The sequence below is a fragment of the Homo sapiens genome, chromosome 7, assembly GCF_000001405.40.
Source record: "Homo sapiens chromosome 7, GRCh38.p14 Primary Assembly".
Lineage (NCBI taxonomy): Eukaryota > Metazoa > Chordata > Mammalia > Primates > Hominidae > Homo > Homo sapiens.
The window spans coordinates 88,783,876-88,800,836 of NC_000007.14; the positions used below are offsets into that span (position 1 = coordinate 88,783,876).

The 16,961-nt window shown below is 34.7% G+C and overlaps 2 protein-coding genes across 2 annotated transcripts in view; one reads left to right on the forward strand and one right to left on the reverse strand.

The window, feature by feature from the left end:
• The window catches only part of ZNF804B (zinc finger protein 804B), a 578,829-nt gene that overhangs the window by 24,176 nt on the left and 537,692 nt on the right, over positions 1-16,961 (forward strand). The window lies entirely within an intron of this gene.
• TEX47 (testis expressed 47) lies at positions 10,231-11,862 on the reverse strand. The gene is made up of 2 exons (NM_152706.4): positions 11,765-11,862; positions 10,231-11,171 (listed from the first exon to the last, which is right to left on the reverse strand). The coding sequence occupies exon 2, from the start codon at positions 11,065-11,067 to the stop codon at positions 10,306-10,308; it is 762 nt and encodes a 253-aa protein (NP_689919.1). The 5' UTR covers positions 11,068-11,171; positions 11,765-11,862; the 3' UTR covers positions 10,231-10,305.

The following is a 16,961-nucleotide window of genomic DNA, read 5'->3' on the forward strand; positions in this document are numbered from 1 at the left end:
TTTTGTTATGAATGTCATATAAGACATATTCATAGTCAAGTTTAATGAATATACATTTAATGAATATACATTACAAGTTTCATGAATATAATTAATGAATATACATTACAGAGATAAATGGTTCATGAATTCACCATCATTTTGGATCATGCATTATTGCTCTTTAAAGTCATTAGTTTGGAAAAGTGAGATTTGATTATAATTTGTGACTTGCTAGCATGCCCTAACTGGGCAAAAAAAGAAGTGACCTGGATAAGGGCCAAATTTCAGAGCAAAATTTATAAATACAATGTGGCTGATCCATAAAGTATATAGAACACAGGAGACAATCTGCAATTAACTGTAAAAGTTTGACCATGGAAATAGCAGTGTATTAACCCAAGGCTTGAGCTGTAACATTAGAGCTTGCACATATTCTAAACTCACTTTCTGCACAGCTTAGTTTCTTCTAGAGATTAGTGCAATTATTTATCTAAACAAATGTTTATTAAGAAGACAACATGCTGTTCCTGAGCTGTGTACATAGTCACTCGGGGACCTTTAAAGTCCAGGATTATTATACACTGCCATTCAAAACTGGATAGAGCCCTTTTACCCTGGGGCCACAATTGGACATTGAATCTCACATGAAAGGACAGAACCAACCTCACTGGAAACCAGAATAAAGAGGTGATCTTCCTTTTACCAAAAACTTTAGAATCCTAAAAGTGACCTTTATATTTTTAAATATACTCCGCACATTCACTGCCAACGGCCAAGCTTTTGGAAATACTGTCTATACTTGTTTCCTCACCAGACTCTCGCTCCTCAACCCACCAAATCCTGCTTCTGCCTCTGCCACTTTGCATAGGTCACCCTCTCCAAGTCACCAGTGACCTTCTTGTTATTAAACTTACTTTTACATTTCTTTGTTACTTGACTTTGAGGCAGAAATTGATGTTGTTGAGTATTCTCCTCTTTAGGGAATGTTCTTTTCTTTCTCTGCTTTTCTTTTTCTGCTTCTTGGCAATTTAAATTATGTTATCTTAGATTTCTTTGTAGATGGCTCTTTTTATTTTCCGTAGGCATTTCTCAAGATTTAGAATGAGGCTTTCTTCTCTGCTTATTCTATATATTTGTGTGGGTAATAGATAGCACCATTCCTGAAGTCTCAGTCATTATCCAGAAATTGATTTACAAATCTTCATGTTCTTGACAGATCTACCTATGAGCTTTGAGGAAATACATCAAACTCTGTATTGGACAGTATAACGTTGATGATTCTCAGACACCTCAAATTCGGCATGTTCAAAACGACAAACCTCATCTCACTCCCTGTGAAACCCAAACTGTTGCTCCTCCAATATTCTTGATCTTAGGGAATGGCATCTTCACCTGCCTGGTACTTCATCCTAGACTCTTTCCTCTTCTTAACATTCTATTTTCAGACAAATACCAAGGTATTGGACACGTCTCTTGATTCTTTCCACCTCTTTCTATTCAGTAAAGGACACTATAGGAGTCTGTTTTTGTACAGACTTCTATTATCTCTTTCCTAGATTGTTGTAATAGCCTCTTCTCTTAAGGTGTATCTATACAGTCTCGTTACCTAGTTCTCATCCGATCTGTTTCCCACAATTCAGAGTGGTCCTTCTATAATGCATAACTAACCATAGTATTTCTCTCATAAAAATAAAACTGCTTTCCATTTCTATTAAGATAAGGTCATGATACTTCTTTATTCCGCTTTAAATGTTTGCATAATCTGGCCCCATACCTTGCTATCCAGCCTCATCTCTTATGACTCCCCTTTGTACTTGAGGCCCTGCCTTGTAGAAATTCTTTCAGTTCTCCCAACACAGTATGCTTCTTCTTGCCTTCAGATTTTAGAATATCCCTCTGCTAGAATACATACATATATAGATAAGTACATAAAATCTCCTCTGCCAGGAACATTCCCCTCCTACTCCTTGACTTTTAATTGGCTTACTTCTATTTAACTTTCAGAAATCCCTGTGTCTTTGTTCTCTTAGAGGCATTCCTGATCCTCTAAATTAGGTGAAGTTAGGAAACCATTGTAACTTGTATATCCAGGATGACAACACTTATTATAATTGTTTAATTTCCTTTTATATGTCTGGGGTGAAGGGAGAAAGATCCTGCATGCTCTCTAAGGTAGAAATTATGCTTATTTTGCTTATGATTGTACCCCTGCTGATGCTTGGCAAAGTGCCTGACACTGTTTTTCAGCTCATCCTTGCTGAATAACTAAATGCAGAGAGAAAATAAAATGTAATATTTGTCATATACTCCCAGTACCATTTGAGAGAAATAGTGGGCAAGCTATTTCAATATAGTACCAAAGGACACCTTGGCACCTAAATTTTAATTGCAAATAGAGTAGATGCTATACCAGTGAATTTGGGGAGAGCTATAGAGAGCCCTTTATGTGTTTGTGTCTTCCATAGTCCCTAGGATATGACTCTGCATATAATGGGCAATCAATAAATAATTCTTGGATTAATGTTTGAATGACTTTTATTTGACTAAAGGAAGAAATTAAGCTCAATAAGCACTGCTGATTTTTTTTCTCTTTACTGAATGCAGATATAAGATTAAGGGGAGATGTAGGAGATTTCAGGCTAAGAATAATCTTTGGGCTAATTCCTCTTTTAGCTTAATTTATTTTAATTTATCAAACTGCTTTTATTCTGTTTTTCTTTCCTAGGAGTTCCTCACTTATATCAGAAAATACTGTTAGTGCCTAGCTATTTCAACAAAGAATAAAATTTAATATAATTTATATGACCTACACCTCATCTAAAGATAGCAATACTGGAGATATCCAACCAGGAAGGAGCAATTTTTGCTTGATAATTCCAACAAAAATTGTTTGATTTCCATTTCAATAATGAAAATATTGATAATGGCCTGTTTATGAGATTGCATAACACTTTTGATAAAAGTAAAATTAACCTTATGGAATAATTCTTACAGATATTTTAAATGATTCCTTTTTGTGATAAGACACTAAATATACAAATGAAAAAAGGCCATGGCAATTGTTTACAAGTTGCTGGCAGGAAGATGAGTGTGCACACAAACATGGCAGCAGAATTTCTAGAATGTGGTTGAGTACCATGTACAGTGAGGACAGAAAAAAGTTCCTTGAGTTTGCCAGTCTTCACAGAGGACATAATTTGATTGCTAAGCAGAATTTTGCTAAGAGAAGTGAGGAAGGGTGATAGAAGCAAAGAGCATGGAAAAATTAGGGAACTGTTAGAGAACAAAGTGTGAGAAAAGACTATGAGAAAGGAGAAAGAGACAAGAGAAAACCATAAGGTGAATCTGGGTAGCAAAGTAAGCATGGATCAGAGAATCAAGGCTTTGCAGATTATTTATTATAGAATTTTGCTTTTTATCCTGAAGGTGAAATGGAATCCATTGAATAATTTTGATCAGGGGAATAATATTTATTGAGTGCTGACTATACTCAAATTACTGTGAATTTACCTGTTAACCAAATAGTGAACTCTGTGAGTAAGTGTTTATGCACACTTCTTTAAAGATGTTCCTTCTCATTGAGTTTAAAGGCCTTATTACTAGGAGTTTACATATATATATGTGACAGATGAATCTGAGAATATTACTTAAAAGATGAGGTTTGCACAGTTTTGTTGCAGTGAATTTAACTGTTTCAAACTGTGAATTCTGTAATGAAGTGTTTAAACGTTCTTCAAAGATGTCACCATATGATGGGAACTTTACACCATTGTTTTATGGGTTAACACCAATAACTAATCGTAAAATACAGATCCTGTTATCACTCTCATTGTGCAGATGAGGAAACTGAGGTACAGAAAGGTAAAGAAACAAATTACACTTCTAAAAAGTTGTAGAACCCGGTTTCAGTTCAGCAATTTGACACCAGAGTGGCTCTCTTGATTAAACCTTCTGCTATACTGTCTTTATGTTTGATAGAAACATGACATAACTGAGAAGAGAGAGTAGGAAGAAGAAATTGGAGTGAGGAAAATGCCTAAGCAGGGCACAGAAACAAGATCAGACAATGGGAACACTGTGGAAAACAGATGAGGATTGGATTGATTGGCTGTCAATCATAAAAAGAAAGAAAGGAATCTAGGATAATTTTTGAATTTCTGACTTAGCAGCCGTTTGGAGAGTGGTTCATTTTATAGCAACAAAGAGGGTATAGGGAGGGGTAGGTTGAAGGAATGTGGCGGCAGGGAATGATGCATTCATCTAGTGCATGTGGAGGTGCAGATGCCTGTGGGGTTCCAGTGGGACTTCTTGAGAAGGCCCTGCATGAGGACTGGAGGCCAGGTGGAATTTGGTGTAGTAGTGAAGAAAACATGTAGAATTAAATCCAGAACCCCTAATCATGGCAACAAGGCCCTACATAGTGTAACCCTGGCCACTGTCACCAACCTCACTCCCCTCTTGCTTCCAGTACTCTGGTCTCTCTGGTATTCCTTCTGTCCTTCAACACACCAAGCTTGCTCCTCCCCCAGAGCCTTTACACTTGTTGTTCTGTCATATAGAATGTTCTGACCGTTACCACCCCACCTCTTTTCATTCAGATCTCAGTTTGAGAAGGCTTCACTGACCACCGAATGTAAACCAGACCCATTAGTTACTGTCAACATTATGACTTTTTTCATAGCACATGAAACCATCTGAAGTCATTTTCTCTATTTGTTTATTTGTTTTTTGTTTCCTCTTCCAGAGTATATGCTCACTGGAAACACTGGCCTTGTCTTTTTTACCATTGTATCTTCAGGGTGTAGGCAGGAATGCAAACAACATAGTTGTATAACACATATTTGTTAAATGAATTAATGAAGATACAAACATGTATTTGAAGTCATTATCTCTTAGATGGGAGTTGAGGTCATGGCATTAATTAGAATGAATTAGAGAAGTGTGCAACTAGAGTGATCAGGGAAAGAGAAGAATGCCTTGACAACACTATTATTCTCTTCATATCCTCTTTAAGGATAAATGGTAATCTTTTCAACTGAAATTACAGGTGAACTAATTCTATAAATATTCACATTCAGTTAAAAATGGTTTCTTTTTCATTTGAAATTTATATCTACTTATGCTTAAATAAAATATATTTGGTCTAAATTGTATGGAAAATCTCTTTTACATTTCTGCCTATATAGAAACATACTAGCAAAAGTATTTTAATAAATCCAAAGTCCAACCATTGTTAGAAATTAACAACTAAACAAATAACCAAAATAAAATGTATCAAAGTTGGTCTTTCAAAAATATAAGAAAACACAGAAATGGTAATAAGAACTAGTTTTTTTGTATAGCAACTCAACATGAGGCCAGCTAATATAAAATTTTTCTCAGATATTATAAACTGTCCATACCAATAAAAAGTTCTAAACTAATGAGAAAAAGTGAGTAGACAGGCATAATTTGCTTAAAGTTACTTACTTGTAGAGGAATAAAGGTCTGCATAATTAATGTGGTGAAGTTAATAATCACAAGACCCTAAATGGGAGAATACTGTTATCTTGCTTTTATTGTTACTGTTGTTACACTGTTATACCAGTATACTGTTACATTTCCTTTTACCATTGGCAAAACACCTTAATGTCTTTAGGTCTCAGAATCTTTATCTGTGGAATAAGAGGAGTCAAACAGATATTTGAAAGGTACTTTTTGGGTTCTCTCTGTATGCTCTTAAAATCTATGCACTGTTTTTACTACATACATCCTGTCCACAGGTAATCAGGAAATTTAAGTAACTGACCACAAGGGGGAGAACTTTAATTCTGCATTAAATTATTTAATACAATATGAAATGATTTGAAAGTACTTGGCTATGTGAGGTTGGTGATAGGCTGCTTCATTTCCACTTCCTTGTGGAAGTTGGGGCATTCTACTGCTAACGATAGGTTTAACTTAATTGAAATGTGGTTTTGTGTTTGTAGAGTTATGATACAGTCACTGGATGTCAAATTCTATTTGTATTAAGCAATAATGCTCCATGAAGGGATCCAGATGCCTTTTTTATTAAATTTATGATAGTAGAATGTTAGAATTCACCCTGGAAGAGTTTTTCCTTTCAAGTAATATTATTTAAGTTATTCTGCAAGAAATCTATTACCTTCTTGAATGTCAACTCTGAAACAAGCATAGGATTATCAACGGGGCAGTCTGTACTCAAGTATTCATATAAAAAGAAAAGAATTAGAATGGTGCTGGCCACATCATTTGAATGTTATGTGATCATTGGCTTTATATATATGTTCGCTGTTATATGAATATTAAATATTATATGTTCACACTGTTAAATATTCATTTTTCTGTGGGTTAAGTTATGTACTCTTATTTAAAATTTTATTTTAAGGCAACTATAGCTTTCTTTATTTTTAAAATATTTTATTTGAAGTTCCAGGTACAAGTGCAGGACGTGCAGATTTTTTACGTAGGTAAATGTATGCCATGGTGGTTTGCTGCACCTGTCTTCCCATCCCTTAGGTATCAAGCCCCACGTGCATTAGCTATTTACCCTGATGCTCTCCCTCCCCTTGCACCCCTGACAGGCCCTAGTGGGTGTTGTTTCCCTCCTTGTGTCTATGTGTTCTCAATGTTCAGCTCCCATTTATAAGTGAGAACATGAGGTATTTGGTTTTCTGTTCCTGCATTAGTCTGCTAAGGATAATGCCCTCCCTTCTCCATCCATGTCCCTGCAAAGGACATGATCTTGTTCCTTTTTCTGTATAGTATATATTCATAGTATTCCATATCACATATCACATATACATATATCACATTTTCTTTATCCAGTCTATCACTGATGGGCATTTGAGTTGATTCCATGTCTTTGCTATTGTGAATAGGGCTGCAATGAACATACGCGTGCATGTATCTGCATTCTATTATAACTTTCATTGAGTTAAGAATTACCTTATCAGTCATACTAAGGCTTAAAAGTTTACATTTTGGATTTCATTAAGCTAAATTTGTAAGGTATAAATGTAAGATTTCTGGATTTTATCAAATGTACCCAAACATACACAGCTAAATGAGTCCAATTTAAAGACATTATATCAGTGACCTATATAAGTATCTCAATAACTCATTTGTTACTGAAGACAATTTGTACTTCCCCTTAGAAGCATTGTCACGCTCTTTTTAATATGTTCAGTGACAGCAGATCTGTCTTTGAGAGTGAGTATAAATTAAAAAAATTCTATCAATGGAGATCAAATCTTAAAGTTACTAATTAAGTTGGAGTATAACAATAATTTGGAGATCAAAAATTAGATATAATTAAAATATTTAAGCTCCCTTTGATTTATAAACCTCCTTTATTCAACTGCCAAAGGGTCCCAAAATGTTTTCAGCAATGGTGTTGCTACCTGGACAAATATAAATCTTCCTGAAGTGACTCCTATACGGGGTAAATTTATTTGAATACATTCATTCTGATGTGTTCACAAAAATGAACAAATAACTATATAAATGAAATTGTTTATAGTCACACTGTGTTTATTTTCCAGTTATTTTCATAGTGAGCCTTCATGAATTCTTTAAAATTACGATATGCTAAGTAAATCAGCAATTTTATCGTTGAGAGATATTCTATAACTTCTTCCAAAAATGATTAAGATTGTTAATAATTCTCTTTTTGGCTTAGTGAATTAGGTTTCTATTGGTATTCTCACACCAAAAAGTATTATAGACCCATAAAAAATCTATGCCAGGCAGTGTGTTGAATATACCCCCTATTGCTACTTGTACACCCAGTGACTAGCACAGTGATTGGCCTACTAGTACATTTTTACCAGTAGCTATCCAATAAATTTTGGTACATAAATTAATGAATAATAAGTGATACAAAGAGCTTATACACGTATATATTATTTTTCCCATTACATATGTATTATTTTTCCACAGTGCTGCGTAATCATTCACCCAAACCTTAGTGGTTAAATAAACAATAATCACTAATGTTCACAGAACTCTGATTTGGGCAGGACTCAGTGGAAACAGCTCATTTCTTCTCCACACAATGTCAACTGAGCTGGCTTCCCAGGTTTACTGGAAGCCTGGGGTCTGGGGTCACCTGAAGTCTCACTCACTCACATGTCTAGTGGATGATAGGGGCTGTTGGCTGCGACCTTAGCTGGGGATGTTGTCTGAAATTGCTGGATTGCTCACAGCATAGTGTTTGAATTCCAGGAGCTAGCATTCAAGTGAGCAAGGCAAAGTGCACATTTTTATGACCTAGCCTTCGAGATCACACGGAATAACTTCTTTTGTATTTTATCGGTTAAGGCAGTCACAGAAGAGGTCTGCCTGCATTCAAGGGGAGAGAGTTAGAAGCCACTACACAATGGGAGGAATATCAAGCTCATGTTGTAAGAAAGGCATGTGGGATTGGATATATTGCAGTAACCATTTCTGGAAAATACAATATGCCATATTTTCTGATTTATAAATATATAATTTTTATCCAAAATTCAAACTTCTATTCACTAGATAACTTTAGAAAATAATATTCCCAAACAAAATTCACCCTGCTAAAGGAATTCTATCTGATCCAATAAACATTTATTATCCATTATTCTCTTACATATGCTCGTCTTCTCTCCCAAACCACTTTCACATTCATGCTAATCCTGGACCAAGGATTGTATCTTTGTTGAACGTTTTCTCTATTCCTTTTTTGCTGGGAAAATATTTACTTACGTTTCCAGTCAGTTTATCACTAATCATTTACTATTGACATGCCCCTGTGTCTTTTTCACAGTTCAAAGAATAGACAGCATAATGCTGTTTAATATTAGGTGTTTTTTTCTAAATTGATATAAATTTTGAAAGTTATATACTCTTTCTTAGCTAGAAGAATTCTCATTTTATCTTAAACATTTTTTTCTGTTACTAACTTGAAAGAAACTTCAGTTAAAACTGAAAAATACCATTCTAATTAATGAAGTATTACAAAATTTGGAAAATAGAATGGTCTTCCCTAAAATTTGATTCTGTTATGTAACAATGATGCATATCATTTTTGTTTATTATATACATTTTGTTTGTTACATACAATTTGGTCAGTATTTTCATATGCAGAACAAAATTTTCTTCAAATGAAAAATTGAGGTGCACACTGAGATTGGTTTGTCCTCAAAGAAGCTAAAAATGAAAAAAAAATAATAAAAAATAAAACTATAATGATAAGTATTTTCTCCATTAACTCCAAAGTTGGTTTCGTAAGATGTTAAGGTGATTTGGGACAAATATCATTGCAGTTTTCAAAATATTGATGTCAATTAATTGTTTAAACAAGCTAAAAACTTTTAAACAATGCAAAAAATATTCATCTGGATAAAAGAAGGGATCAACTTGAAATTGGTCACATAGAAATTATATATAATTAGTTGCTTTCTAGAAAGTGAATTGAGAAAATAACCAGATTGTTTATTTTACATAAAATCATTTAGAAGTAAGTGTTAATAGTGGGCAGATAATGTTTTCTGTGTACCCTGCCATATTCCTCAGTGCCTGGCAAATGTTTGTAACATAGAGGGATGTTCAATAAATGATGTTGCATGGAGTAGCACAATGCCACCTGATAATGTATTTTCATTTCATTCCGAATAGCTATTGTTTTCTGTAGCTTTATAATGGTCTCAATATTCTTGATTATATAGGCCAGAATATGTGGGCTTTGGAAATATTTTCAATAATTAGATTTTGTTTTCTGAATGCAGGAATTATACAGTGATTATTCCTTTACTTGTGCTCTCAAAGCCCTTCCTATATACTGCTACTATAATGATATATTATATTACATTATATGTCATATCGTAACTACTTCTACATGTACTTGCCTCTAACCTGAGGTTGCAAGCAACTCAAGGGTGGGATTTTTCTTCTCGATTTTGTACCCTCAGAACACTATACTTCTGCTATGTAGTAGTGACTGTTTATTAACTCTTGAGGGATTGGATGATAATCTGAATTCCGTTTGTCTTTTTTCAGCCATACTTTTTTTTGAAAAGTGTCAATTCATGAAAATGATGTTAATATTTGAGAGCTTATGATAAACTTATTAAACCCATCTACCTAGTAAAATAATGTATTGAACTTAATACCACAACAAATAGATACATTTTAAAGTTTAGCTCAACATACTCTATAAAGATTAATATATTACCTCTGTGTATATTGCAATGTTCTGTTTCTTTTAAAAGACACCAGTAACTTTAAAAATGTTTTTTTTATTTAAGTAGCACAAACTCCTTAAGAGACATGGGCACATTATCCCTCTCAATCCTAGAAACGTGAAGGAGCAGGCCATACCACCTCAGAATCCAGAGTGATGTGTATGGGTCTATTATACATGTTTATAAATGTTGCCGGGTCCATGAATTCTTCGGATTTGCACAAGTACTTTATGATTTGTTCTGGGAGGAGTAGGTCAGGTGCAACTTGGTGTAAGTTATCGCCTGGTCCTTTAGTGCCTACTTTCATAGTCTGGCAAAGGTAGAGTGACAGTTTATGAGTTTGTGTGAGAAAATCTGTGATGACCTCCTTTAGGGACTGTGACTGTGTCACATCGTCGAGATACATAACTGGAACTTTTATCACTGAAACATGCCATTGCATAAAAAGCCTCATTGGAATGTTATGAGAAATGACTATAATTTTCATTTGTTGAATAAAAAATACTGTTTCATCTTTGACATGGCCAATATAATCTAAAAGAACTTTGTAGAGAGTGTCGCTGGAGGACTCGAGGATATGCAGAATGGAAGTGGGATAGATGAGCAGCAATCCTGTCACTGCTTCTCCTAGGTGATGTTTCAAAACTGACTGAAACATTTGTTCATAGTAGTCAGCAACATCTTTTCTTTCTACATTTGCTTGTATCTTGGCCACTAGAAACATCCTATCAAGAAGGAATTTCTTTAGGTGTAGTCGTTGTTTCTCTTCTTGAAAGTGCAGGTAATTGCTACGTGGGACTTGGAGAAAAAGAAGAGGTTCCAGTGGCAAAGGCCTTTTGCTGCCCTTCTGGTTATGGACCGAAAAGGACATGAGGAGTCTTATTTATTTTTCCAGATGATTCCAGCTTTTAGCTTATCATAATATTTATGCTGCCAGGGTACCTCTTTACTGATGAACTCGTGTTTTTATTTCTTCTGACAAAAAAAAAAAGAGTAAATCACGGTTTGTCAAATGTTACTAAATAGTAAAATCCCAATCTTTTGCCAGTTTTATCAGGAAACAATGTATTTGAAATGAAAGACAATGTTAAAACAATACTCAAACTATAGACTTTTTTAAAAGTTTACAACGAAAGAGTTAAATAATATCCTAGGAAAAAACTTTGTAAATGTCATGTAATGGTGATTACAGATTGTCCTTTATAAGCCAAATTTTTTAAAAATGGTATTTTATGGTAATTCTTCCAGTTTCTTTTACAAATCTAACTGATCTATAACTTTTAAAAAAAAATCCAAGGCTTTTTAAGTCCTAATTAGCTTATGTAACCTTTAGTCATGTCACTAATAGTTAATAATGTTCCTTGAATAATAACAGTAAACATTTCAAGGGAAAAGTTTTGGTTCTTTGTTTTTTCTCCTATCGACGAATCTCAGAAATGATTCATTTCTCCCCCCTTTATTTGTTTTCTTGTTGTTTTTGTTGTTGTAAGGGCTACATGAAAGTATTCTGCTACTTTAACTTACTCTGCTTACAAATCTCCTCAATTTTTTTTTCCAGGTCAACTTACCATTTTTCTTTTTTTTCCTGTGCTTCTGTCACGCACCTGTCCTCGAGGCCCTACTTGTCCTCCATCAGGCTCCCAACTGCCAGTCCTCTGGTGTTCTCAGCTGTCCTGTGTTCTGCCTTCCCTCGGGCATACGTGAGTCAGAATGTCAGCACCATTAAAGGACCAGAGCGCCAAGTTTCTTAATACGGGTATCTCGACAAACACTTCAAAGTCACTGCAGAGGAAGTGTGAATGGCTTATTCCTGAATGGTTTATTTTTAGTCAGGTGCATTTGTAAGTCAGACAGATGGTGAGAATCTGGACATCTTTTTCCTTTCTTTTTTTCCGTTTGATAAATAAAAAGTATGGTTGTAGAACTCCTCTGTTCTACTTAGACACTAACTAAAGACTTCAGGAACACATATCTGAATCTATCTAATGGTGAATATATGATGAGAAAGTTCTATAGTAAGATTTGGCTTACTTAACTTAATGTGATTTTAAGAGATGCACCTCTTAAAATTGTGTCTTAAGAGATGCATCTCTTAAAATTGCATCCACATGAGTTCTAAACAGTAATTTTAAAACAAGTTTAAAAAACGTTTATTCAATTTTTAACAATGAAACCTAAGAATAATTTTTTCCCTGAGTTCTGTATTATCCAAACTAATGATCTAATTTTAATGATAATACAATGATAAATTATCCAAGTAAATGAAGGCAGAGAGGTGACTTAATAATTAATTAATTGTGTAATACATAAAAATGGACTATTCTTCCTCATTGTGATTCACTTTATCACTCCCTGAAGCAATACAATCTTTCCGAAGATGTAAACCATGGTGCCAAACCATGTCATTGCCCAGTCTAGTTATTATCTCACTCTCATTCTTCTTACAGCTTTGTTGGAAGAAAGTGTCCATGTTGACCAGAGCCTTCATTATGGCCTTCTCTCCTCTCCTGGTTTCTATGATACTGCACTTTCTTGGATTTCTTTCTAAATCTCTGTATGAGGCCTTGCCCGGCAATACCTTCTCACATCCAACTCTGGAAAATACTTAGGCTCTGCGCTCATGATGTGGTTGGATCTCTCGCTCTACTTCTTTGCCCAGTTAGCTCAGCACCATCTATATGTCTCTTTTGTGAGGGCAGGTAAGTGGTCCTTAAAGCCACTCTTGCCACTAGATTGCACGTTTGAAATTGGAAATTGATCATGGGGCTTTCCTTCTGAGCTTACCTGTGGACTAAAAATATTTTTCAATCTGAGTCTCAAGGTAGACACAACTAGTTAATTGGGGTTGAGAAAGAAGAAAAAACTGAGCTCCCATTCTAGATTATTTTTGCACAGAAAATTCTCAAATTATTATCTCCAGTCACTTATTCACAACTCTTCTCTCCTTGGATGTAACTCTGTCTTTTCAAATTTAAAATGAAAACATTTAAACAATTATTTTCCTTATTAAACATGTTTCCCTTTACAAATACCCCACTTGTGTCTAAATTAACATGTTTTTTCCTCTCAGTTCCCAGGCCAAAATCCTTGGTATTATTTGTTCATGTTTCATCCAAGTTATATACTCCAACTCTATTCTTTTTACTAAGTCTTTTTACTCACTTTAATATGCCTTAAGGGTTCTTGATTTACACTACCTCTTTCATAGTCCTACTTCTTTATTTGGATTATAATAAGGGTCTCTACCCACAGTATTTCTAGATTTCTCCACCCCACAAATTCAGCTAAGAGTGTGAAACCATAAGCCCTTTGATACATCTACTTTATAAAGTTAAAAAGATTCTCATTTTACAAAGTCCTCCCTGCTTTCTTTCCCTCCATAGAATGCTGGGAGGCAAAGCCTCTGCCTTCACCACATCCAGAGTGACTTCTGGTATTTATTTCCAATTTCCAGTCATGGATTAAACCAGAGAGAACATGGGGACAGGCAATGGTGTGATTTGTTACCTAACACAGCTACTGATCAAAGTCAGTAGGAGAATTTATGAGGTACTGCTACCCAGGAGCCCCTTTTCAGTGCACAAACTCAAACTAGTCTTTTATACACAGGTGAGATTCTTCCTCTTCATGAAACTGTTCCTTACTGACAGCCCAATTTCTTCCCTAACATGGCTGAGAACTATCCCTCAAGATAAGGCTAACCCCAGGATGTACTGTTCCACCTCAACTTTCTGTTGACTTCATTTACATATTTTTATTATAATTATGTTCTCAAAATATAAAGAATTGCCACAGCAAATGAGAGTGATGTACTATCAAGTTTTGAACAAGATTGTTAACTCACCTTGTCAGTTTCCCACTATCTTCTTGGATTCCCTGAATCTCAGAATAAATAATAAAAACTATTTCATAGTTCTGCTTGTTTTATCTTCTGGCTTTGCTCATTCTCCTCCAGGTCTAGTTTTTGTGCACTGCTTTTTCCAAATCTCTTTTTTAAGAGTTCTATTTCCATGGGTATCAGAACCTTGATGGCTTCCCCCTTCTTCTAAATCATAGCTCCCCACTCTGATCAATACTTCCAACACAATATCTCTCTGATAATCACATGTGTCTTTCTACCTTTTACTCCTATCAAAAGAAGCTTAGTGGTCATCTTTTCTCACCATGTGTGCTTTTTGTTTTCCTTTTATTTCATATATCTAGATTCCTCCAATATAAACCTAATAGAAGAATGATATTTCATCATGATAAACATATAAACTCTATAGAAAATCAACTAAGCTCTCCTTTCTTCAAAAGAGTGATAATATCTTAACAAAGCCTAATTGTTGTTATCTTGAAAAACATATGAACTATCATTTCTGTAAGTCAAAAAAGGCAAGTAGAGACAATGTTGCATGGTTCAAACTAATACATTCAGAAGCAATAGTTTTTAATCTCCATGGATGGTTTGACATCTTTATTCCATTTTCCCAATGTAATTTTCCATTTTCAAATTATTTTTTTGCTATTGGGTTGCTTCCTAAAAATTTTAGCTTCATTGTCACATGGCTATCTGAAAGGTTTAAAGGCAACTTGTTTTCTTATCATTCATCAATCACACTCTGAACTGTCAAGAGTAAGTTCTGACTAGATAGAAATAGAAGCAACATGCAATTCAGACAGTTTTTGATTCATTGTCTTGTGTAATTAGAATTGTACACTCTCTGCTCAATGGACATTCAGCTTTAAGTGCCCAGGTGCCACAATCCTTATGTGCCATCTATTAAGGGCAAGTTATTTACCTTCAGATGGTGACTCAAGAGAACTCTTCTATCTGTCTGTCTACGTATCTGGATAAAGAAGCATTTGTGTTATTCTACCCAGAGTGATCTGTTTAGAATAGCTATCCAAGTTCAAGTTCAAACAACTGATAAGTCACAGAACCTTAATAGAAGCTTAGGATGCCAAGTCTTCTTTCAATTATTCTACTTATCTACCTTTTTAATTCAACTTATCTGATGTTAATACATAGCATATACTTGTAACTCGTGTCAAAGAGTACACCTTACTATTACTGATATACTTATGCCCTGGTTTCCTTTTTCAGAACCAAATGCTCCTGAATAACAAATTTATCATGTCCTTTTTGTTTTTGTAAGCCAGACAGAAAGGATTAAAACAATTAAATACCATTTATTATTTACCATGTGCCATGCACTAGATACTTTTACATACAGTAACTAAGCTACTTTTAACAGTAACCCTATATGATAGATAGAATCTTTTCTACAGTTTATATGGGAGGAAACCAAAATTTAGAGTAGTTAAGTATTTTGCACACAATTAAAATCTTCTCTCAGCAGCCTCCATATTCTGTCTACCTGGGTAAAGAGGAGGTAAATTATCTCCTATTTCTATCCATGACCATAGTGTCATTCTTCCCCCTGTCTATGAGATGATTCCTCTGGAACCAAAGGATACCTTATGGTTTGGATAAAGTAAATTTAAAGAAAAACTTCTACATTATACCTAGGTTTCAGCAACATTTATCTACTGTTATTATCTACTCATTTGTCTCAGATTTATTGACGCCTTTGGTGTGCCAGGTGATATCATTAGGCACTATAAGAAATGTAAGTCTGGAGCTTAGAGTCCAGATTTCAGGAGCTTAGAGTCAGGTACAGGTGATGAAATGTACATGAATCTGAGATGTTCTTGAGACAGAGCAGGGAAAAACAATAAATATCATGCAAATGATGTTTAGTGCTTTAGAAACACCAATTTAGAAAGGGTAACTCTGGAGTTTTCTTAGAAACGTTAGTGAAAGAGTTCTCATTTGAGCGTGGCCTTCAGAGAAACAGGATTGAAGGACAGCCTCATGAATTGGTCTCACATACATTCCTTTAAAATGTGAGGTTGTGCACTTACTAAACTTGATTTCCATCTGGAATACCAGGCTTTAAACTCTCACCTGTGCTCAGGTCCTAGCGAAACAAAACACTCTAAATCATTTCCTTTCACTTTATGTCTTATATCAAAATGATCAGCCAAAGAGAACTAATCATCTAAATAAATGGCTTACAACTTGGGTACAGCCTTTCACTAAGAGCACATATAATAAGCTATTGAGTAGACAAAAAATATATTTGATTTAGCATAGCAAATCTGAGTGAGCTTAGTTATCAAATCACTAGGTATTTGAACATTTATTGAAAAAGACATTCCCCCTCCAAGAAAAAAAAACAAACTACATTACTTTCTCTGGCATTGACTCTCTTCACCAATAGTATTACGGAACAGTGTTTGGTAATTACTTATCAAGGAGAGCGCAGGCTAGGAACATTTAGTTAATTGATTACAACATTTCACATAGTTTTCATCTATTTACTATTTGTAGAAAAATGTGCCAGGCTCTATGGAAATATTCTTGTGAATCAGATATTTTATCTGCACATGAAAAATTTAATTCTGTTAGTAGATCTTAAGATCCCCATGACTATGTTTAGTACAGGGCTGGATGGGCGTATACAAGAGTGCTAAGATATAAACAATGAACAATGAAAGCACAAAATTTGGAAACATTTAAATTTGGCTGGAAGAATGAGCATTTAAGCTGGGAATTAAAAAATAGATATGATTTGTGTGTGTGTGTGTGTGTGTGTGTGTGTGTGTGTGTGTGTGCTTAAAGCATAAACAGCAGAGGGCATATGTTAAAGATAGGAAGTGTGGCACACCATTAAGAAAATGGAAACAATCTGTTCTGGCTAAAGCACTAGTCCTCAA